Source organism: Homo sapiens, chromosome 12 (assembly GCF_000001405.40).
Source record: "Homo sapiens chromosome 12, GRCh38.p14 Primary Assembly".
In the NCBI taxonomy this organism is placed as follows: Eukaryota; Metazoa; Chordata; class Mammalia; order Primates; family Hominidae; genus Homo; species Homo sapiens.
The window spans coordinates 92,817,361-92,843,233 of record NC_000012.12 but is presented as its reverse complement, the minus strand read 5'-3'; the positions used below and the strand labels follow the sequence as shown (position 1 = coordinate 92,843,233).

At 35.6% G+C, this 25,873-nt stretch overlaps 1 protein-coding gene across 2 annotated transcripts in view; it reads left to right on the top strand.

Moving 5' to 3' along the window:
* Positions 1–25,873, top strand: part of EEA1 (early endosome antigen 1) — a 158,659-nt gene that overhangs the window by 86,062 nt on the left and 46,724 nt on the right. For both annotated transcript variants that reach the window (NM_003566.4, XM_011538814.3), the window contains 5 exons: positions 653–769; positions 10,384–10,722; positions 15,173–15,322; positions 16,949–17,068; positions 23,723–23,926. In NM_003566.4, coding sequence (NP_003557.3) covers positions 653–769; positions 10,384–10,722; positions 15,173–15,322; positions 16,949–17,068; positions 23,723–23,926 — 930 coding nt within the window. The remainder of the gene's footprint in view (positions 1–652; positions 770–10,383; positions 10,723–15,172; positions 15,323–16,948; positions 17,069–23,722; positions 23,927–25,873) is intronic.

The following is a 25,873-nucleotide window of genomic DNA, read 5'->3' as shown; positions in this document are numbered from 1 at the left end:
GTGAGCTGTGATCGTACCACTTCACTCAAGCCTGGGTGACAGAGCAAGACCCTGTATAAAAAAAAATAATAATAATTAAAATGCACTAAAGCAAGTTCATGCCTGACGGTTATACCTGACCATATAGTGATCTAGCTTAAGGAAGCTGTGTATAACTTCAGCTTGGTAACTTCTTTGGACAAAGATATTTTCTTTACAATTTAGAAAGATGATTCACTAATATCAAGCTCTGTGTTGCATGTTTGTATATACATGTCTTAAAGTAAAAGGATAATTTTATGCTATAGAAGTTGGGAGGAAATGTAGATATAACTGGCATATTATCTTTAAATTCTGGAAGATTGAAGTATAGAGTTTAAGAACCAGTAAATTTAGGTTTGCAATTTGATACTTCAGAAACTTAAAGTAGGATGCCAGATTTTCATTTTATGTATTACTAAATAAATGAAGTTATGCATCTTAGTTAAATTGTAAAAATTTGTCGTAAGCCGAAAAAAGCATAATGTGGCAGTATAGGTGGTAGGATAAAGAACAAAATTGAAAATTCCAACAACAAAAAATTTGTTTTCTTAAAACCTTTATATACTTTCATTTTTTTTATCTTTTAGACAATTTAGTTTGCTTTAATTTTTGTTTTGTTTTGTTTTGTTAGGCCACAATAAGCCAGCTAAGGAGTGAACTTGCCAAAGGCCCCCAGGAAGTTGCTGTATATGTACAGGAACTACAAAAACTGAAAAGTTCAGTTAATGAATTAACACAAAAAAATCAGGTGAGAATTTTAAAGCTATATATAATAGCAAATTGATTTTATGTATTTTAAATATTAATCTTACATACTTTAAAAAATATATTGGCATAGTACAATGTGACTTATTTTTTTTTTTTAGTGTTTAATATGTTCACATTATTGTGCAAACCAATCTCTAGAACTTTTTTCATTGTGCAAAGTTGAAATTCTATAACTGTTAACTCTGCATTACTCCTTCTCTCTAGCTCCTGGAAGCTTCCATTCTACTTTCTGTCTCTAAAATTTGACTACCCTAGGTGCCTCATATAAATAGAACCATACAGTATTTGTCTTTTAAAAATGTTGTTTTTTAAATTTTTTCAACTTTGGGTTACTACATCCAACAGTATTTGTCTTTTTGTGACTGACTTATAGTGTCCTCAAGGTTCGTTTGTGTTATAGCTTCTGTCAGAATTTGTTTTTAAGGCTGAATAACATTTTGTTGTATGTATATATGTTATTCATTCATCTGCTGATAGACACTTGGATTGCTTCAATCTTTTGGCTGTAATGCCACTTTCAACATGGCTGTACAAATATCTCTTTGTCACGTTGCTTTCAATTCTTTACCTGTAAGTGGAATTGGTAGATCATATGATAATTCTATTTTTAATTATTTGAGGAACTGCCATACTAATTTCCATAGTGGCTGTAACCCTTTTATATTCCCACCAACTGTACCAGGGTTCCAGTTTCTCTACATCCTCACCAACACTTACTTTCTTTTTCTTTTTTGAGAGTAGCCATCTTAATGGGTATAGGGTGGTGGTATCTCATTGTGGCTTTGATTTGCATGCCCCTAATGACTACGTTGTTGAACATTTTTTAATGTGCTTGCTGGCCATATGCAACAAAACTGGGTTTCATTGTTGTTATTGAGTTGTAGGAGTTCTTTATATATTCTGGATATTAACCCCTTATCAGATATGTGATTTGCAAATATTTTATCCCATTCTGTAGGAATGTTAAATTTTGATGTAGTCTAATTTATCTACTTTCATTTTTGTTAAGGTCTATTTGGTGTCATATCCAAAAAATCATTGCTAAACCTAGTGTCATGAAGCTTTTCTTTTGTTTTCTTATAAGAGTTTTCTAATTTTTAGGTCTTATGTTTAGGTTTTTGATCCATTTTGATTTAATTTTGTATATAGTATAAGGTAAGGGTCTAATTTTATTCTTTTATACATGGATATCCATTTTTCCCAGCAACATTTGTAGAAAAGACTGTCCTTTCCCCGTTGAATAATCTTGGCACCCTTGTCAGAAATTATTTGACCATTGTCTTAGTCTGTTTGGGCTCCTATAATAAGATACTATAAACTGGGTAGCTTATAAACAATAGAAATTTATTTTTTACTATTTTGGAGGCTGAGAAGTTCAAAATCAAGGCACTAGCAGATTTGGTGTCTGGTGAAACATTGCTTTCTGGTTCATAGATGGTGCCTTCTCACTGTGTCCCACATGGTGAAAAGAACAAGAGACCTCACTGGGGCCTCTTTTGTAATTCCATTCATGAGAACTCAACCCTGAGGACCTAATTACCTCTGAAATGCCCCATCTCCTAATACCATCTCCTTGAGGGTTAGAGTTTCAGTATATGAATTTTGGGGGGACACAGACATTCAGACCATAGCAACAATATATGCAAAGGTTTATTTCTGGCTCTCTATTCTATTCCATTGGACTCTATGTCCATCTTTATGCTAGTACCACACTGTTTTGATTACTGTAGCTTTGTAATAAGTTTTAAAATCAGGAAGATAAGCCTTCAACTTTGTTTTGTATTTTTAAATGTTAGTATTTTCTGTATTGTTTCTTTATAAATGAGCAACATTGGCCAGGTGCGGTGGCTCACGCCTGTAATCCCAGCACTTTGGGAGGCCAAGGCGGGCAAATCACCTGAGGTCAGGAGTTTGAGACCAGCCTGGCCAACATGGTGAAATCCCATTCTATTAAAAATACAAAAATTAGCTGGGTGTGGTGGCACATGCCTGTAATCCCAGCTACTTAGGAGGCTGAGGCAGGAGAATCACTTGAACATGGGAGGCAGAAATTGCAGTGAGCCGAGATCATGCCACTGCACTCCAGCCTGGGCCACAGAGTGAGATTCCATCTCAAAAAATAAAGAGCAACATATAGTATTTTGTTTGGGGTTAGGGGAGGTACTAATATTAATACTTTTTCCCTTTGTCTTTACTTTTTTGGTGGTGGGGCAGTAGAGAGTTATGAAACCCTTTTATTCAGAGATGTGAATGTGTTGGTTAAGTTGTAATAACTTAACATTTTCGTGAAATATAATAAGGAAAAAGTCAAGAAAGAAAAAAATAGGGCATAAGGGAATAAAGAGAAATATAATTAGCTATAAATATTAAACCTCCTGCCAACAGCCATGTGTATGAGCTTGAAAGTAGATGCTCCAATCCTAGTCAAGTTTTCAGAAACTGTAGCTCTGGCCAGCAGCTTACTATAACCTCATGAGAGACCCTGAGGTGAAATCACCCAGTTAAGCCACTTCTAGATTCCTGACCCTCAAAAACTATATGATATAATAGATATTGTTTTAGGCTGCTGCCATGAAGTTTCAGGGTAATTTGCTGCCATGAAGTTTCAGGGTAATTTGCTGCCCTTGGCAAGCACTTCTTTTTACATTCTCAAAATGATTAAGGACTCCAAAGAGCCATTTTTGGGTGAGGTTATATCTATGGACACTTGTCATATCGAAATTTAAAAGTAATTTAAAAATATTAATTTATTTAAAAAACATTAACTCATTAAATATTAACATAAATAGCATTTCTTATGAAAAATGACCATTTTCTAAAACAAAAGAATTCAGCAAGAATAGTTGTGATGTTTCACATTTTTGGAAACCTCTTTAATGTCTAGCTTAATATAGGACAGGTAGATTCTCATATCTGCCTTTACATTAAATCTATTGTAGTATATGGTTGAAGTATATGAAGAAAATTTAGTCTCATACAGATATGTAGTTGGAAAAGGAAGGAATATTTTAATACTTTTTCAGATAATTGTGGCTTTCTTTATTTGATACTGTGCTCAAATTTGATAATAGTGTCTTAAAAGTTAGTGACAATGTGGAATCTGAAACCGAGTCAGTGGACTTTTTGTACACTGTAACATTAAAATTTGATCTATCTTGCCTTTTGAGTGGATCTTTTCCTGTGCGTGATTTTATAAGATCATGCATTAGTCATGTGGAAAATATTGGTTCACTGAGTTACTCAGATCTTCCAAATTTTGATACATTTTATTGTACAATATAAAAACAGTCACATTTGTCAATATCACCATCAATCTCAGATTAGGCTTTAAATATGAGGAAGCTGTCAAGCTCATGGTGGTGGATACATGTTTTCCAAAATTCTAAGCTGTATTTGAAAGCTTGAGTTTTATCACTGGCAACAAATACTATCAATTCTATTCTTTAAAGTGACAGATTCCCTTCCTACTCAAGTCCGAATATTAATAGTCTGTCGGTCTTTCTAGTAAAAGTGGTGTTTCATAAAAAAAAAAGTGTGGCTAGTTCAGTATAACTCAATCACATGAGTACTTTTCTTCATGACAACTGTATTATACTTTGGTGTGGAGGAGAAATGGTCCATGTATACTTTCTATTTTTTATTTTTCTTGCTACTACAAATATTCAAATATTATAGCTATGAACATTCATATATAAATCTTATGCATTAGTACAAGAATTTCTCTATGTTAGATACTCGAAGTGAAATTCCTGTCCTGTAGGGCAGACACGTGCTCAGATTTACTAGATGACCTCCAGCTATTTTCCAAAGTAATTATACCAGTTTACCATTGCCCCTTTCCCCATCAACTCTTGGTGTTGATTGATGTTTAAAATATAATCTTTCATAGCTGTGCTTTTCCCTAGTAAACCTCTAGATCCTTGCGCCCCTTTTATATCCTGTCAAACTACACGTAGAAAACTTCTACATAATTTAGTTTTGCCTTTGTCCCTCTGTTTGATTTTTAATTTCTTTGAACCCAGAGCTTACCTTCTATCTCTTGGAAGCTGACCAGGATATGTAGAGTAGCAGTTTGCAAGCAGTGAGTGTTGATGATCAGTGTTATTATGTGTTTCTCAAACATTAAGCTATTAATAAAGGACATGATTTGATATTGATAGCTGAAATGTACAGTCAAATACTCTAGCACACATTTTGTGTGTGTTGTGTGTATGTATATTCACACGTGCACATTATTGAAAGAAGTCCTGTGGCTATTTTATGATTAATACATAGAATCAAGATTATTTTATTGTGTTAGAATTGGAACATTTCTTATTAGGGAATAATAAGACCTTCTACTAATCTTAATAATGCCTTACATAAATTTAACACTTTGCAGTTTTGTTTTGTTTTTCCCAAAGGGTTTCTCTGTTTGGGATTTGGTCACCAGTCAGTGCAAGCCCACAGTTGCATCTGCCTTTTCTTATTATCCTCACTATCTACTTCTCTCACCCCTCCTTACCCCATGTCTTTGGTAAACCATAATTATTGACAGTGGTGATTTTCAAGTGCTTTGAATTTGGAATCTCTTTACTTGGTCATTTGAAGGCTATTACATGAAATGTCCTGGGCAGCTTTTGTGGGTCACAGGTAGTATCAACGTGGATAGGTAACATTGTAATATATAATGGATGGAAAAGATAATTGCTTTTGTGTTAATGTCAAGGTTTTCAGGTTTAAACCAGTGTTTTATAATTACTAGCCTTGAAAACTTAAAAACATAATGGAAAAATTGAAGAAACTTTCTTCCTAGTTTTTAACAAAAATAACTTCTGACATTTAAACAGCTCAATTAACTGTTTCCTTATAAATTCTAAACAAAATTATATTGCTTATCTACAGTCACTACAATATAATATAGGTCATTGGAAGAGACAGAGATTTTTTTGGGTCTCATCCTTCATCGCTTTTCTCCATTGCTCTCCTTTTTCACCAGTCCCAGTTCTAAGACGCTCACATGCCAAAGTGGGAGCCACATTTGGCCAGTAGTTATTATATCGCTTGTATTACCACTGCATTGCAAAGTGGTATATTGATAAGAACAGTATAGTGCAGTAGTCACAGGCATTCTTAAATCTCAGCTTTGCCACTTACTGGCTGTGACACTAAGCCTCTGAGAGTCTGTTTACTCTCCTGCTAAGAAATATTATTATACCCACTTACCTCTTAGGATTAATAGGAACATTACATAAATTAATAAAATAATAAAAGTGCTTATTGACTTTTAGTAAGCACCTTAGTGAATGTGGGTTGTTGTTGGTTTTTTTTTTTTTTTTTTAAATGAGACAGAGTCTCACTTTTTCACATAGGCTGGAGTGCAGTGGTGCGATCTCAGCTCACTGCAACCTCCATCTCCCGAGTTCAAGTGATTCTCTTGCCTCAGCCTCCTGAGTAACTGGGATTACAGGTACGCACCACCACGCCTGGCTAATTTTTGTATTTTTAGTAGAGACGGGGTTTCACCATGTGGGTCAGGCTGGCCTCAAACTCCTGACCTTGTGATCTGCCCGCCTCGGCCTCCCAAAGTGCTGGGATTACAGATGTGAGCCACTGCACCCGGCTGGTTGTTGTTTTTAATTGTTAAGTGTTGTGATACAGGATTGGGTCAAGACCAAGGTGAGAGTTTTCCTAATTTACTGCCTAGTAAATTAGGCAGTAAAAGGCTTTTGTATAAAACATAACTTTTTAGCTGAGTCTTTAAGGTTGCTAAGGAGCATTTCATATGGCAGAGGGGTTAAGACATTTCATTTTGAGAGCTAGGTGTACAAAAGGCATAGAACAATGTAAGAGCATATGTATCTCATAAAATAAGAGACGTTGGCGAGCTACAAAGTAGTTTAATTTGTTCATTCTCACCAAGCTATTCTGAGGAACAAGTGAGATGAGATCTCTGAAATAACTTTGTAAGCTATGAAGCATTAAAACATGGCACTCTTTTTATATTCATTTCATTATCTGAACAAGTAACAAATGAAAAATGGAGCGTAATATAGGGAAATTGTCGCTGTAAGAATATATATTGAGATAACAATTGGTGAGAAAATAAAAAGGGACTGGATACTTGGAAGGGAAGAATTTTGCTTACTCAAATGATAATTAGGTTATAACATAGGATTAACATGCATTTTATAATTTAAATTTGAATAGGATATATTTTAGGGAGTACAAATTGATTTATTGAATGTCTCAATTGTGTTATGAAAAATTTATTGGATTTAGAATCATAATCCATGATTCTACCATTTGACCAATCATATCAGGCTCTGTCAACTTCACCTTCCTCATCTGTAAATCTCTATCTCATATTTTGTTGTAAAGATTAATATGGAGAAGTGAAAATGCTCTTATTATTTTTTAATGAATTTCACTATAGTTTAAAAAGTCACTCTTCAAAAACCATGTATTCACTATAATATTTTGCTTCAGATTCCATGGGAAGACCATAATAAAAATGAAAAGTTTTAATAATAAAATATAGTTAGTCTTTTGCCTGTAAAAATTACAAAGTGTGAGTGGATTAGATTCTTTTAAAAAGAAAGAAAGTGGTTTCGGTACTTTTAAAGAAAATTTAATTCTCTTTCATGTTTGTAATAATGCTGGTAGATTTTGGTTAATTTTTTTGGGACAAGGCAATTTTAAACAGTCCCTAGTTGTTACCATATGTTTTTTGCCTTTTAAAGAGTGAAACTATCAGCCGGGCGCGGTGGCTCATGTCTGTAATCCCAGCACTTTGGTAGGCCAAGGCGGGCAGATCACAAGGTCAGGAGATCGAGACCAGCTTGGCCAACATGGTGAAACCCTGTCTCTACTAAAAATACAAAAAATTAGCTGGGCATGGTGGCGGGCGCCTGTAGTCTTAGCTACTTGGGAGGCTGAGGCAAGAGAATGGTGTGAACCCGGGAGGTGGAGCTTGCAGTGAGCCAATATTGTGCCACTGCACTCCCACCTGGGCGACAGAGCGAGACTCCATCTCAAAAAAAAAAAAAAAAAAAAAAAAAAAAAGGAGTGAAACTATCTCAAGGGTGTATATAGAAAGGTGGGATTAGTTGGTTACTTTCTAAGTAAGTCTGTGGGGAAGAAGACTCTAACTCATTATATGCCTTAATTTTTGTAGCATATTTTAAAAGGTATGTTCCATCCAAGTTCTCAGTGTATGTGAACATGGTTGCATTTATGAAATTCAGTAACTTAGAATTCTCTTTACAAAAGATGATTTATAGCTGGCCAGGCGCGGTGGCTCAGGCCTATAATCCCAGCACTTTGGGAGGCCGAGGTGGGCGGATCATGAGGTCAGGAGATCGAGACCATCCTGGCTAACATGGTGAAACCCCGTCTCTACTAAAAATACAAGAAAATTAGCTGGGCATGGTGGCGGGAGCCTGTAATCCCAGCTGCTGGGGAGGCTGAGGCAGGAGAATGGCGTGAACCCCGAGAGGCGGAGCTTGGAGTTAGCTGAGATCGCGCCACTGCACTCCAGTCTGGGCGACAGAGTGAGACTGTCTCAAAAAAGAAAAAGAAAAAAAAAAGATGATTTATAGATTAATGAATAATTTGCTTACAAATTCTAAAACAAATGTTTTCCTAAACAAAACAAATGTAGAATTATGTCAAGAAAAATTTGGAATTACAAAGAAATGTTTATAAAAAGATAATTTTTCTAACATAGTTGAATCAGAAGTATTATTTTTGTTCTGTGATTTTCTTGGCTCTATGTCTTTTTTTCTGTTTTTGTTGCTTAGTCAAAGCACACATCTTGTAGCTAATTTTGCTGTAAACTTAATGGTTGCTCTTCTTACTTTTAAGTCTGTCTGTCATCCTCTCTTATAAGTACTCTTTTTTTTTTTTTTTTTTTTTTTAGTGACAGGGTCTTGCCCTTGTTGCCCAGGCTGGAGTGCAGTGGCGTGATCTTAGTTCACTGCAGCCTTAAACTCTTGGGCCCAAGCATGCCTCCTGCTTTAGCCTCTCGGGTAGCTAGGTCTATAGGTGCATACCGCCATGCCTGGCTAATTTGTTTTTCTTTTGGTAGAGATAGAGTCTTGCTATATTGCCCAGGCTGGTCTTTAACTCCTGACCTCAAGTAATCTTTCTGTCTCAGCCTCACAGAGTGCTGGGATTACAGGTGTGAGCTGCTGCACCTGGCCTCTCTTATACATACTTTTATCATCTCTCTGGACACTGCTTTTCCATAGTATATTTCTGTTTGATAAGTAACATTAGCTTACTTTTTCTTAGACAAATATTCAAGAACCTTTATTGCTGCGTTTCCCATGTTGGGGAACGCAGCAATAAAGATCTATTATCCCCTGTGAAATAATAGGGTTTTGCTGTCACCCCACCTGAAACTTGTTTGCCTTTTCCTTCATGTCTTATACATTTATATAGAGCAGATGGCATGTATCATATGTATGTATTCCATGATTTTTCCCATTGCTTTTAAAACCAGGCTCAAACTTCATTGTATTTAGATGATCTTAACTAGCTAGCTCCCCTTGACTTTGCTCATTTTTTAAAAAAATTGTGCCTTAAGAAATTTGACACACTTTTCTATTAACCCATTCTGACTCATGCATTATGTTTTAACTTTCTTAGAAGGTTTTTGTGGTTGTTGTTTGTTTAGTTGTGTGTATTTCATTTAGAGTATATTTTGTTTAAAGCATGAAGGCTTTGATTGTTCTTTCCTATTTCAGTGTCATCCCCTTCCAGCACACTGCATGTAAGTTTGTACACTAAAGGTCCACTAACTGACTCACCAGGTACTTACAGTAGCTTCTTATCCTGGCTGGATGTCTTACAGAATTTAGTTAAAATTCTGATCCATGTTTTTTGCTTAAATATGTTTACTTAAAATGTTTAGTGTTAATTTTTACAACCCCACTGAGACCAGGCTTTGACATTAGATTAGGTTGGTTGATCCAGGTCTTTGATTAGAAGTGTTATTTTTGTGTTTTATACTTGATAGCATTGAAAAATGACAAAATTTAAGGCAGGTGATTAGCTTTAGATCATTTTTTAATACACCTAGAAAAAAATTTGAATTAGTCTTAGCTTGTGACTCCAAAACTTGGTCTTTAACAAGAAGAGCATAAAAAGATGCAATCAATAGGTTAGGTGCATTAGAACAGTGGATGATATTGCTGTGCTAAAGCTCTTACCAACTATGAAATTGCACAGTGAAAAATCAAAGTTTGCATAGTATATTGTTACTCAAAATAATTTGTTGGTAGAATGGTAGTTTCAGTTTTTAACTCAAGTGGAAGAATATAAATATGTCACATAACCTAAAAAATCCAGTAGATTTTATTTTTTTTTTATGTCAACATTTGCTTGGCAATTCTTAAGTTGTATTAGTAGATTTTAGTTAAGTGGACCAATAGTGAAATCACAAGTTAGTATGTAATGATTTAATTCTTGACTAGAACATTGTCACTGTTTTATATTTTAATATTGACTAAAATGTATAATAGGAGACAGTACTGCTCCAAAGATTGTTTGAGTAATTGGAGTAATTAAAAATATTAGAAAAGGAAATAAATTGTTAAATTGATATTTTAGACCTTGACAGAAAACTTGCTGAAAAAAGAACAAGACTATACTAAGTTAGAGGAGAAACATAATGAAGAATCTGTGAGTAAAAAGAATATTCAGGCAACCCTTCATCAAAAAGACCTAGATTGTCAACAGCTTCAGTCAAGATTGTCTGCATCTGAAACCTCACTGCATAGAATACATGTAGAACTAAGTGAAAAAGGAGAAGCTACTCAAAAGCTCAAAGAAGAATTATCTGAGGTAGAGACCAAGTACCAGCATCTAAAGGCGGAGTTTAAGCAGCTACAACAACAGAGAGAAGAAAAGGAGCAGCATGGGTTACAACTCCAAAGTGAAATTAATCAAGTAAGAGCTGTTAATTTTATTTATTGTAATTCTCCCTCTGGTTTCTTCTTCGTGTACTTGATGGTTATTTGATCATAATATAGTTCATGTTGAAAAAATATTGTCATTTTAAAAGATTAACTCTTAACTTTTATATCCTGTAGTGTTGTCAGATCTCATTTCTTTTAATTTCAGTTTCCCTTAAAAAAATTATAATATCCATCTTACAGCTTTGTGGGGAAATGTTTATGAATTGATACTATAAATTGCTTAGGATGGTACCTGGGGCGTGTAGGTACTCACTAGATTTTAGCTATTATAATTAATTTGAATTGTTGACCATTCTTTCATTTGAAATTTTTTTGTTACTAAATTTTAAAAGCATCATTATTATAAAACAAATAGCATACAAATTGGATATTTTTTTTTTTTTTTTTTTGAGACGGAGTCTTGCTCTGTCGCCCAGGCCGGACTGCGGACTGCAGTGGCGCAATCTCGGCTCACTGCAAGCTCCGCTTCCCGGGTTCACGCCATTCTCCTGCCTCAGCCTCCCGAGTAGCTGGGACTACAGGCGCCCGCCACCGCGCCCGGCTAATTTTTTTTGTATTTTTAGTAGAGACGGGGTTTCACCTTGTTAGCCAGGATGGTCTCGATCTCCTGACCTCATGATCCACCCGCCTCGGCCTCCCAAAGTGCTGGGATTACAGGCGTGAGCCACCGCGCCCGGCCAAATTGGATATTTTTAAAAAATTATGTGTTTTAGGGAAAACTTTTTTGAAAATAAATAAAAATTAGATATTTTGTAGAAAGTGAATCAGCCCTAATGCTGTGGCTATTTTGTATAGGTAAATAATATATGAATTATATATATATGAACTATATATTATATATTTATATATTTATGAAATATATATTATATATTTATATATTTATGAAATATATATTTTATATATATAGTATATATACACACAATATATCATGATATTCATATCATGATATTGATATATAATTCATATATTATTCATATCATATATTATATACAATTCATATATTATTTACCTATATAGCTCATATTTTGAACTACATTATTTACCTACACAAAAGTATTTTGTGTAGGTAAATCTAGCTTAAAGGCAAAAATATTTTGTATAGGTTAATAATATAGTGGCTATCAGATGAAGTTTAATGCAAGTTTTGACTTTGCCATTAACTTAATTTTTTAATACCTGTGTTCTAATTATTGCTTTAGGTAACATTGAAAATTGGTTGAAAATGGAAATTGGGGGATATTCAGGTCTCAGCTACTTTTTTGATAATGTTCAGCTGTTTTTCTAAAATGGCAGTGATACTTTATTTTACTATAATTAATAATTTTCATGGCTTTCTATCCTTTAGTAATAATAATAATCATGATTATGTTAGTAATTTAATGAGCTTCAGTTATGTTTCAGAAATTAGAGTAAGCACTTCACATATGCTAATACTAATTTTTGAGTTTGGACTGTGAGTTCCATGATACAGTGAATCAGAAGAATTAAGAATATTTCTGTAACATGTCTTCTCCTTCCCTGCTTCTGCTGGCCCTGTCCTCCTTGTCTCACTCTTAAACCACTGTAACAACCGTTAACTGATCTGCCTTCCTTCTTGCCCCTGACAAATTGATTCTTTATATAGGCATCAGAGTAATCTATATTAAAGGCAAATCTTACCATGTTCCAACCATGCTTTAAGCCCATTAATAACTCTTTATGGCCTAATGGATTAAGTTGAGGTCCCTTGTTATGACATGCACTATCCATAGTGATCTTGTTGGCTCACCTCCTCAGCAATTTACCCTTCTTTTCCTTATTCTTCACTGCAAGAATATGGAAGTGTCTTTAGTTTTTTCCTACATGTGTGCTGTGTCTTGCTTTTGTTGTATCATTCAGTCTGTCTTCTTGACCTGAAATATTCTTTTTATTCCTCTTCACCTTGATAGATACTATTTACTTCACTTGTCACTTTTTATAATTTTTTTTTTTAGGGAACAAGATCATGCTCCTTATAGCAATGTGGATGGAGCTGGAGGCCATTGTCCTAAGCGAGCTAATATAGGAACAGAAAATCAAATACCACATGTTCTCACTTAAAAGTGGGAGCTAAATATTAAATACATATGGACACAAAGAAGGGAACAACAGACAGCCAGACCTGCTTGAGGGTGGAAGGTGGGAGGAGGGTGAGGATCGAAAAACTGCCTATTGGGTACTATGTTTATTACCTAGGTAATGAAATAATCTGTACACCAAACCCCTGTGACACGTAATTTACCTATATAACAAACCTGCACATGTATCCCTGAACCTAAAATAAAAGTTAAATATTTGAAAAAATTTAAAAAATATATTTAGGGGGTAAAAGTGCAGATTTCTTGCATGTATGTGTTGTGTAATGTTGAAGTCTGGACTGTTAGTGTACCCATTGCCCGTATAGTAACCATTGTACCCAACAGGTAATTTTTCAACCCTCACCCGCCCCCCCCACACTCTCCCTAAAAATCCTTTCTAAACATGCCACTGCTTCCCCACACCCAAGATAGCTTAAGCATGTACATATCTTTAATATTTTACTTATACCATAATATAGTTTATTATCATAATTTATGTCTTTCTTTAATAGACTCTGAACTCTTCGGGTGCAAAGACCATCTCTTACTCATTTTTTATTTTTACTGCCTGGCATTTGGCTTGTTTTTTGTTTTTTTTTTTTTTTTTTAAGACAGAGTTTCACTTTGTCACCCAGGCTGGAGTGCAGTGGCATGATCTCGGCTCATTGCAACCTCCATTTTCCGGGTCCAAGCAATTCTCGTGCCTCAGCCTCCTGAGTAGCCGGGACTTCAGGCACATGCTACCACACCTGACTGACTTTCTGTATTTCAGTAGATATGGGGTTTCACCATGTTGCCCAGGCTGGTCTCGAACTCTTGAGCTCAGACAGTCCACCCTCCTCAGCCTCCCAAAGTGCTAGGATTACAGGCATGAGCCACCGCGCCCAGCCAGCATTTTGCTTGTTAATCTGCCTATGTTTTAGTGAGTGAATGAATGAATAAATATAAGCATTCATAGTGGAAGGAAACTGAGCCATGGGGATATCAATGAATAACTTAAACTAACTTACATATTTGAGTTTTAGTTCAGATAAACAAATTTAGCATTTATGCTTTCTTTTTTTCTTTTTCTTTTCTTTTGAGATGGAATCTCACTTTGTTGCCTAGGCTGGAGTGCAGTGGCGAGATTTCAGCTCACTGCAACCTCTGCCGCCCGGGTTCAAGCGATTCTCCTGCCACAGCCTCCTGAGTAGCTGGGATTACAGGCCTGAGCCACTGTGCCTGGCTGCGTTTATGCTTTCTAAAAGACACATCCCTCATTTACTAGGGGATACATAAATGAGTAAGAGACAGTACCTACCTTTAATAATTGTGTAAATATCATGGAGAGGATAAGGCAAGTACTATCTATCATACCAAAGATTATGAGAATTATAATAAAAGGATTCTGTATATTATGGGAAATTGGAAGAGTTTCTTTCTTTTGTTCCCCCTCTTAGTACTTCAGCTGTTGTAATTTTTAATCCATTTATGTGATCAGGAAATCTTTGTGTTAGAGAGAGGAGGTGGTACTTGGAATTGGGAATATCGGATAGGTTTTGACAGGTGGCAGTTCGAAAGCAGATGTGTCTCACAGCCAGAGGGATTAGTGAGAGCGAACTAGTGGCAGGAAAGTGTTGTAAGAGGTAGGAAGGAACACTGATTTGCTGTTAGGATAGGGTATGTATAACAGGGTGGACTACTCGTGATGGTTCTTAACTCCCTTAGTTTTAATTGGGTGGCATTTGTAAAGTTAATGAATGAGGGTCACCATATATATATATATATGATATATATATGTACACATATATATATCTATATATATGATCATTTCCTGTATTTTATTTAGAAATTATGTGCCAGTATGAGGACTTGGGAATGCACTGGGCACTATCCAATACCCAAATGTAAAAAGTTAACTGTAGTAGTTCTTGGCTATGGAAAACCAACAAGAATCACTGTGGAACTTTAAACAATACTGTAAAATAGATCTGAGTGTGTACTAAGTGTCTTAATTTTTAAGTTGTATTTTATTCTTTTAAGTTCCTGAAAGTTCCAACACTTATATCCAAACAAGAACCTGCATTTGTTTTAAGAGAGCAGTAACATAACACAAAAACAAAAATTGTGATGTTTAACGATAATTTTATGTGATTCATTATAATATATGATTAAAATTCAGTTGCAGTTAAAATTACTGTATAAAATCTTAGGTTTCCCCAAAGTATCACGAAAATTAAGATATTGTACTTATTTTGGTGAAAAGTAAAACATTGTTTGGAAAGTAGGTGGTGCTGTGTGTGTGTTTGTACATATGTACATACATTTTTTTTTCTTTTTTTAAAGTTACATAGCAAACTTCTGGAGACAGAGCGCCAACTAGGGGAAGCTCATGGTAGGCTGAAGGAACAGAGACAGCTTTCAAGTGAAAAGTTGATGGATAAAGAACAACAAGTGGCTGATTTACAACTCAAACTTTCTCGGTTAGAAGAGCAGGTAAGCTAGCATTTTCAATTTATTGATAGGCTTGAGGCATCTTTAACATGATTATGATTCATCAATCTGTTAATTGTCAAAGCTTTAATTGGACTTTTTAAAGTGCAAATTTATTGCTCTCCAATAGCAACATCTTGCTTATTAACTACATTAAGTCATTTTGTTGTAATTGTATTCCCTAAAGTTCTCAACAGAAATGCACAAGGAAAACTACTCTTTCAGGTTTAGGCAGGAAAAATTCTGGGGGTGAACCCATCAGGCTGCTAGAGTCTTCCTACTCAGGAAGGACTACTTCCTAATGAAACAGTAAACTATGAATTGTTGGTAAAGATCGTTAATGACATGTAGTTGGTATATATAAACTTTGAGTTTCCATTTAAAGATTTTTGCTTTTAAAAATTAAGCATATATTTGAATGCTGTCCCTCATTAGACTTGCAGTTGCCATAAATGATGCCTGTAATATAAAGTAAAAGTTATTAAATTGCATCTTTATTGCAATTAAACACACTTTTTTATTTTTAAGTTTTTAATTTTTAATTTAATTTTATTTGTTTTTGAGACAGGGTCTCACTCTGTCACCCTGGCTGGAGTGTAATGGCTTGATCTCGGCTCACTGCAACGTCCGCCTCCTGGGTTCAAGCAATTATCCCACCTCAGTCTCCCCAGTAGGGACTACAGATGTGCGCCACTACGCCCAGCTAATATTTATATTTTTTGGTAGAGACAGGGTTTTACCATGTTGGCCAGGCTGGTCTTGAACTCCTGACCTCAAGTGATTTGCCTGCCTCGGCCTCCCAAAGTGCTGGGATTACGGGTGTGAGCCACCACAACTGGCCAGAATTAAACACATATTCTACGATAAAATCTGTAGCTTCAGCAATAGATTTTCTTCTAGACCTAAAATCTTAGATGTGGTAGATGATCCTATTCTTTTCCAATAAGTGATAATTATGACTATTAAGGAAAAAAATAAAAGAAATACTGATATGTGGTTTAAATTATTGTTAAAAATAATTTATATGTAATTAATTCCTTGATCATACTAGTTTACAAAAAAATAATAAACTAAATGCCAGCCTGGAGAAAGTTTTTTTAGGATAAGCCTATTTATAGAAAATACTTTCTTTAACATGAGATTAAGATTCTGTAAGTAATGAGGTACTGCTTTTTTTCTTTTCTTTTTTTTTTTTTTTTTGAGACGGAGTCTCTTTCTGTCACCCAGGCTGGAGTGCAGTGGCGCAATCTCGGCTCACTGCGACCTCTGCCTTTCAGGTTCAAGTGATTCTCCTGCCTCAGCCTCCTGAGTAGCTGGGACTACAGGCATCTGCCACCATGCCCGGCTAATTTTTGTATTTTTTTTTTTTAGTAGAGACAGGGTTTCACCATATTGGCCAGGCTGGTTTCGAACTCCTGACCTTGTGATTCGCCCATCTTGGCCTCCCAAAGTGCTGGGATTACAGGCATGAGCCACTGTGCCCAGCCAAGGTACCACTTTTAAAGTTTATCTTATATATTCCTGAATTTTTTGTTCTGTTCAGACTTGAGAATTGAAGTAATGCCAGATACTTATGAATGATAGCATTATGCCTTTAAGTTCTCAATTGACAATCTACATTTTTTTAAGTTGAAGGAAAAAGTTACAAATTCTACAGAATTGCAGCATCAATTAGATAAAACAAAGCAACAGCATCAAGAACAACAGGCTCTTCAGCAAAGCACCACGGCAAAACTTCGAGAAGCTCAGGTAAACATTAGTTGCGTTATTAGCCTTGTAAACACAAATTAATTACCATTACATAGAATATAAGAGAAAAAATAAAATTAATTAATCCAAATCATTATCCTTTTGTTGTGGTAAAACTAGAAAGTACAAAATACTTGATTGTGAGGGATTTTGATAACTTTGAAGTCTGGATAATCAGAAAATTATTTTTCTTTTGATTACTATGTTGAAAAGTTTTTCCAACATAATGTAAAATATTTATTATAAACTAATTTATTATGTATTTATTATATTTTATATATTAATTTACTTAAATTTATTAGATTTATCTATTAAATCAGTTTAGTTAAATACATTTATTTAAATTACTTATAAATAATTTATTCATTATTGTTTATTATTGACTAAAATACAGTATTTGGAAAATGAAAAATGTTCAAATAAAATTTTCTGGCATCATTAGCCCAGTAAAGAAGAATATTTTGTATTTCCTTCAGTAGAACTTAGTATTTGTTGGTCATTTCTTTTCCTGCTTTATAACCATAATCTGAACACTGGAATTGTAGGTGTAGAAAATATAATTGTTTGGGTTAAATTTATACAAAGTCTGCAGCATACCTTAGAATATTGAAAGAAGTTTTCATTTTGTTATGGTAAGGGGAGGTTGCCCAAATGCTGAAGTGAATTTGACTTTGATATTTTTTAATTCATTCTTTTTTTTTTTTTTGAGACGGAGTGTTGCTCTTTCGCCCAGGCTGGAGCTGGAGTGCAGTGGCGCTATCTCGGCTCACTGCAAGCTCCGCCTCCTGGGTTCACACCATTCTCCTGCCTCAGCCTCCCGGGTAGTAGCTGGGACTACAGGCGTCCGCCACCGTGCCCGGCTAATTTTTTGTGTTTTTAGTAGAGATGGGGTTTCACCGTGTTAGCCAGGATGGTCTCGATCTCCTGACCTCATGCTCCGCCTGCCTCGTCCTCCCGACCTCATGCTCCGCCTGCCTCATCCTCCCAAAGTGCTGGGATTACAGGCATGAGCCACTGCACCCGGCTTTAATTCATTCTTTCATTAATCACTGTGCTCAGCACTGTGACTAGACAGAGTGCTTGCCCTCTAGGAGATGGCAATCTAATGATATATATGTAGAAACAATATTGCAGTTTGAGGGAGGCAATAAATAATATGCCCTTCTCTTCTGAGTTTGGAGAGTGGCATGGGAGTCAGATGGATAGAGATCAAAATACTGGATTCATTTATTTGTTCTTTATTCAGTTAGTCAAAAAACATTTATTAACTTCTAGTCTCAGCCAAGGAACTGATTTTGTGAACATAGCAGTGAACAAAACAGACAAAAATATCTGCTCTCATGGAGCTTAGTGAGAGAGGCAAGGATAATCAAGGTAAATAGGCAAAACATATAGCATGTTAAATGGTGATAAGTGCTATAAAGATGAAGGAAGGAGGGATGGGGAGTTGGAAGTGTTTTGGGGAGGCCAGAGTTGGGACTGCAGTGTTAGGCCTCTTTGAAAAGATGAAAGACCTGAAGGAAGGAGGAGCCTGTGATTCAGAGAGAAGAACATTAGTATGTTAAATGGTCCAGAGGCAGGAGCATGTCTCAAGAATAACGGGAAGTCAGGGCTGGATGGGAGAGTGTTAGAAGAGTTAAAAAGGGCAGGTCATAGAGCTCACAGGAGATCAGAACCTCCAGTTCCTCATAGGTAATTTTAAGGACTTTATTTTACTTTGAGTTAAGTTGAAAAACCACTGGAGGGTTCTGAGCAAAGCGGTGAAATGATTTGACTTATGATTTCACAGAATTATTCTGGCTGATGTGTTGAGAGTAGACTGTATAGGTACATAAGTAGAAGCATAGAAATTAGCTAAAAGGCTACTACAATAATCCAGACAAGAAATGATGTAGCTTGGATTAGAGTGGTAGTGAGAAGTCAGATTCTAGTTATGCTTTAAAGGTAAAGCTGACTGATTTATTGTAGAGTATTGAGAGAGAACTCAAGGGTGACTCCAAGGATTTTAGTCTGGGCATTTGGAAGGATGGAGACCAGACAAAATGAAGATGGAGAATCCCACTGGATTTGGCAATATGGAGGTCATTGATGACCTTGATTAGGGTGATTTGCATAAAGAAGTGAGACAAAAGCCTGATTGGAGGGGGTTCAAGAGAGAATGGGAAGAAAAAAGTTTGATAGAGTGAATATAGATAACTCTAGGAGCTTTATTGTAAAGGTCAAGGAAGAAATGTCAATAGTAAAGCAAGTGTGAAGAATTTGGTATAAGTCAGCAGCCAAGTGGGCTTTCTTACACTGTACCCAGAATTAACTTTATTAATTTAGCCACAAAGCTAGAAATGGCAGCCTTTCACCCTTTTGCAGACAGGTTGTCTCTCAAACTGAGGGAACAGCAGGGACTCAGTTGAACATGGTTATTTGTTTCTTATTCTGCACTTTCCAATAAGTTTAAATTCTTATTCCCTGGGGAGGAATACAGAAAGGATGAAAGAGGGGCCAGGCAAAGTCCCTCATTATGGAAACATGAAAAGTCCTCACAACTAACAGATGTAATGAGTCTAGTTCTAGGTGTGTATCTGTATATAAAATTGTTATGGTAGCATAGAGAATAGTTACCTAAACCAAACAGAGTCTGGAAAGGAGCAGCCATGGAAAACTTTTTAAAAGTGACAATCTGAGCACAAAGGATGAGTAGATATTTCTGGGGTGCAAAGATGGTGGTAGTGAGAAGTTTACTCCAGATAGAAGTTACAAGGATAAAGGATACTGAAGCTAGTGTGAACTAAACTCTTAGGTTTTGCTGGACCTTAAAGTGTAAGTTAGAGATTACTTAAAGAAGTCAGAGCATTAGATATGGGTAAGTTTATAGCAGATCTCACATGACATTTATATTTCAAGATGGAAAGATTTTGAAGATGGAAAGGTATTGAAGGTCTTAAGAAAGAATTGCCATAGTCAGATTTGCTTTTTAAATAGAATATTCTTGTCGATGTGTGAAAGATGGATTTGGGTGGGAATATTCTGGAATGAAATGAGTTAAAAGACTAATATATGCAGCAGTTCAGATGAAAAATAATAATGGTCTTAGTTCAAGCAGTTGTTGAAGTCATACAGACAAATGTGAGAAATACTTAGGAGGTAAAATAAATAAACAGCACTGGTTGACTTAATAGATAAAAGGGATGAGGGAGAAGGGGAATGACTTCCAGGTTGGTAGCGGTGGATGCATGGTAAGTGGAGGTGTCATCAGCTGTGTTAGTGAATGTGAGACAAATGGCCATCTCATAGGGGAATGTGGTGTGTTCAGTTTAGGATGTGTCTTGAGGCACCAGCGCGATATATTTAATATTAATTTAAAGCTCGGAGGAGGGAATCGTGCTATATATGTTAACCGAGAGAGACATCAGAATATATGAAGTAAATGGAATTATTAGAGTAGATGTGATCAGCCAGAAGAGAGAGCATAGTGAGAAAAATAGGTAATTGGTTACATAAGACTTCTGAGAAACACCACCCCTTAAGTGATGACTGGGTAGAAGAAGAGCAGCCCAAGGAAGAGTGAGAATGATCAGAGTAATTAAGAATAACCTGCAGATGGAAGCCAAAGGAATAGGAAGGGTCGAAAGTTGGGGGTAATCAGCACCTTCAAATGTGGGTTTGTGTGGTGGCGATGCTCAGTATGATAAATGAAAAATACCAATTAGAGTAAGCAATTAAGAAGTAAATTGATAATGTTGCTAAACATAATTTCAGTAAAGTAATAGAGATGAAAATCTGATTGTCGATTAATGAGTAAATGAGAGATGAGGGAATTAGGAATGTAAATATAAATTATTTTTGAAATGTAAATGTGAATTGTTTAAACACTGGACAGAAACTGGAGAGGGATGTGTCATGGGGAATGTTTTTGAGAATACGAGAGACCTGGACATGTCTGTAGTCTAGGACAAAGGGATTCATAGGGAGGGAGTTATTAAGGATATTGGGGGAGAGGCAACTGAGGGAATAAGGTATTGTTAAGAAGCTACGAGGTAACGGATACAATGGGGGAGGGTGAAATGGAACTCATCCACTGAAGCTTGAGGAAAGGAGGAAAATATGGAGTGGGGTATATATACATAGCTCCATATATCTATATATATAATTATATGTATATGTAGTTATATGTATATATATATATGTCTCATGGATCAGAAGAAGAGTAGTAGGAGATGAGTTTAGAGCATTAGAAAAAGAATGTGGTTAATTGAAGGTTTTTTTGTTAAATTCGAGTTTATAATAATATAGATTTATATTATTAAACATGGTTCTAATTAATTATATGTGTATGTAATTATATATACATATATAATTTTATATAAAATTATTTTTGGAAAATAAAGATTGATCATTCCTGAAAATCTCATGTTTCTTGATAAAGTTGGAGATAGTAAGAGCTGAAAATCAGGCAAGCAGAGATTGAGAATGTAGAGATAATATGGAATCTTTTAAGTCGTTATTGAGGGGAATGTTTGAGGGTGAGGACCTCATTCAAATAAAAAGATTGACAAGATAATTCTGAGTATATACTGTGATGGAGGTTGAAACCGGAACCAGAAATTTGTAGTAGCGTCGATCTATGGAGCTTTGTGATTTTACTTTGTGATTTTACAGTGCTTAGAAGTAAAGGAATGGAGAATTGGGCTATTTTGGGAGTGGCTTTTGGAAATTTTTGGGTGAAAGGAAATGGACAATGTGGTTGAAAGAATAGTTAAGGTTAGTTCGTATCTACACAGGAAGTTCAGGAAGAAAAGCTAGGCATATGCTGAATACGTTAGAAGGAAATTGACGTCTCTGACATTGAATAACAGAAATTAGGTCATTAAATTGGAAGGCAGTAAGTTGTGGTCATACAGTAGGATAGTTAGAAATTTCTAGCTGGAAGAATTTCAGGTGGTTACAAATCCTATATGAGGGGGTGAAATGTGGAATGAGTAAAGGTCCAGTAATTAAGATGATATAAATGTTGAGGCTATGCTCTTAATTATCTATGTATTTTGTATTTCCCAGGAAATTGGCAGAAATTGGGATTGAGAGAAAGACTAAATCAGGTCTCAAGTCTTCAGTGAATGAGGTAGGGATTTAATAGATGATAGCAACAAAAAGTAGAGAGTAGAATAAGTAAATGGCATACTCCCCAGAGCAGCACGAAGCTTTCACATGAGAGAGAGAGTAATGGCAGTGAAATACCAGGAAAAGGTAACCCTCCTCTACTTGCCCAGTGGAATAGACATTACCGACCAGGGCAGGGTGAGGGGTGAGGGAGAATTGGCATCTGTAAAGGGAGAATCAAATTTCAGTTAAGGTTTGAAAACAGTGTGACTTTACATATATATATGTGTGTGTGTGTGTATATATATATATATATATACTTTAAGCTCTGGGATACTTGTGCAGAATGAGCAGGTTTGTTACATAGTTACACATGTACCATGGTGGTTTTCTGCATCCATCAACCTGTCGTCTAGGTTTTAAGCCCCGCATGCATTAGGTATTTGCTCTAATGCTCTCCCTCTCCTTGCCCCCAACCCCCAACAGGCTCCGGTGTGTGATGTTCCCCTCCCTCAGAGTGACTTTTATGGAAAGAAGCTTAGGCCTGGAATTCTGATTCCAGATTAGTGGAATGTAGAGAGAGGAGTTATCTATCGGTGGCAGGAACAGAGACTGAGAGGCAGAGAGGTTTGGTTGCCTTTTGTCATTTGACCAAAGCTTAGAAGGATGAGAAGTATGCTTGAAAGTGACTGATCTCAAATATTTTAATATTGGCACAAATCATGAGAGTACCACATGGTTGCTGGGTCTGTGTCAGCAGAGTGGTGTGAAAGTAAAAGAAGAGGGATCTCTTGCTATATCGATGGAAGAGTTCTTTTGGGGTATTGAAGTGAGCCTGCGGGTATATGTGATTTAGAGTGGAATCATTTATTTTTCTATTCATTCAGTGACTTTTTTAGAACATGTGTCAGATATCTTGGATATATCAATGACTGAGACACAAAAATCCTTTTTAGAGTATACATTTTAATGGGGGGTGGTTGGAGTGAGGCAGATAAGCATGACAATGTAAGCAAATTATTTAGTGTGTTGGAAAGTAAGCGCTATGGAAAGAAAATGATAACCAAGATAGGGAATATTGGGAAAGGCTGAAATTTTAAATGGAATGGTCAGAGTAGTCCTAATTAAGAAGGTGATGTTTGAACAAACAGTTGAACGGGGAGTAAACTATATGACTCTGTGGGGGAAGAGTTCCAGGCAAAAGGAACAGTTGGTACACTAAGGCTTTGAAGTGGGAGTGTGCCTAGTATGAGATTGAGTCTCATGTGTCTGAAATCAGGGTCAGAAAAAGAGTAGTAGCAGGAGGTCATATTAGAGTGTTAGAAAAAAAACGTGGTTAAGTGAGAGTTTTTTGTTAAATTCTAGCTTATAATGATATAGATTTATATTATTAAATATATAGTTCTAAGTACTTAACTAAATTTACCATATTGAAATGTAATAGTTTTAAAAAATGTAAGACTGAGTATTTGAGTGATAGAATTTATTATTAGTCATTTTATGTTTGAGGAATAACTTTTTAAGTTCTCTATTCTTAAAGTAGTAGTTTTCAATTCTTTACAGAATGATTTGGAACAAGTTCTACGTCAAATTGGCGATAAGGACCAAAAGATCCAGAACCTTGAAGCTTTATTACAGAAGAGTAAAGAAAATATTTCATTACTAGAAAAAGAAAGAGAAGATCTTTATGCAAAAATTCAGGCTGGTGAAGGAGAGACTGCTGTTCTTAACCAGTTACAAGAAAAAAACCATACACTACAGGAGCAAGTAAGCTTGTAAAATATATTATATTTGTAAAATTTACTTCTGTCTCTCTAAGTCTTACTAAGTGCTTTATTTAAATGATTCTTCATTCTTGCTCTTTTTAGCACATTTTAAGTGTTATATATTTTTTGCCAAATAGCATCTCATGTACCTTAAGAGGTAGGTTACTATTGTAGTGAAAGTTAGTTAACATGATTTGACAAAGGAAAATTTCTCAGTTCATGTCCCTGGATGTAAGTTAGTGTGACTATGAATAAATCATTTTACATTATTAGCTCACTGGAAAAACAGAAATATTAATAGTGCATGCTTGCCTAATGGCATTTTGTGATGTTTAGAAAAAAGAATAATGAAATGTATTCATAAATTGAAGATATTAATCAAGTGTTAGTTTTTACTGTGTATTGATTAATATACAGACTTAACAGTAACATATTTTGATAAAGTATATGTCTTTGCATCATGTATAGCCAATAATAATTTTGATAAGTTGCCTTAATGTTCCAGCATTAAAATGTAGTTTAGGAAAAGTTTATAAAATTTAGATAAATACATTTTCAAACAAAAAAGAATTTACAGTTGCTTTTTTGGAAGAATTGTGTAATAAGAGAGTTATTATCTAAATGAGAAAATATTTAAAACAAAGTATCAGAAAGCCATATCACTTTTCTAATTTTAGAATTAGAATATAACAGATTTCCCCCCAAATTTCAAAGTTAGTTTTGAAGAATTCTTTAGGTTAGTTTTTAGTTGTATACAACTTGATGTTGCTTATCATATAAATATGGTCAGGAAGCCCTGCATTCATTTTAAAGAATAAATTAAAATAAATCTGTTTCTGGCCATATTGGGATAGTTAATACCTATTTAGCCCTTCTACCATAAACACCAAGAAAAGTGGAAAAAATGTACAAGACTACTGTTTTCAGACATTGGACAATAGGCAGTGCAGGACTGTGATCCCTGAGAGAAGAGAAGCAAGTGACATGAACTCTTTGACCACACTAACTTTTGATCCAGAGACATTTTCCAGACTGTGGCACCGCTTGGGGGAATCTAAGGAAAGCCTGGTGGTCTTATTGAACCGAGGATGTGAGATATTAAATTAAATTGAGAGACTGAAGTTCAGGGAGGTTAAGGCAGATCGAATTTGTAGGGTAGGATACCAGAAAGGAAGGAGCAGTACAGAGAAAAAGCTTCAGAAATCTGCTTAGGAATTCACTTGAGGCTTTGTTCAATGCCAAGTTTTGTACTTGTAAAGTGGGATTCTATGAGGCCAATGAATACTATCAAGGAGCTACAGGCTGAAAAATTACTAGTGCTTATACAGGGCTGGAAGATGTTCAGGTTCCAGCCAATCAGAAGAAAGATGTGGTTGAACACTTGGAGTATTCAGTAGACATATCAGAAATGTCATACCTTAGGAGGGCAGTAAGGCTAAACTAACCCTAGAGTAAAAGCTGCCATACACCTGACCTTACGAAGTGTAAAAAAGACCTTAAAAGGATCCAGTAGAACCACAAAAATATTAAATATGTGCTGGGACAAAACATTCTTTGAAAGAAGACAACAAAATCGAGAGTGGTCACAATAAATAGTAAAAGATTACTACACATGTGAAGAAACAGAAACAATGTGAGCCATGACGAGGAGAGAAATTATTCAGTGGGAACAGACCCTGAAGTAAGAGATGATGGAGTCACCAGACAAGTACTTTAAAACAGCTCTTCAAATATGCTTATGGATAGAAACAAAAAACTATAATGATGGAGATAGCAGTGGAAATGGCTGGGTGCAGTAACTTGTGCCTGTAATCCCAGCTACTCTAGAGGCTGAAGTGAAAGGATCACTTGAGCCTGGGAGTGAGCTATCACTGTGCTACTGCACTCCAGCCTGGGTGACGGAGTGAGACCCTGTCTCTTAAAAAAAAACAGAAATGGTAAAAAAAAA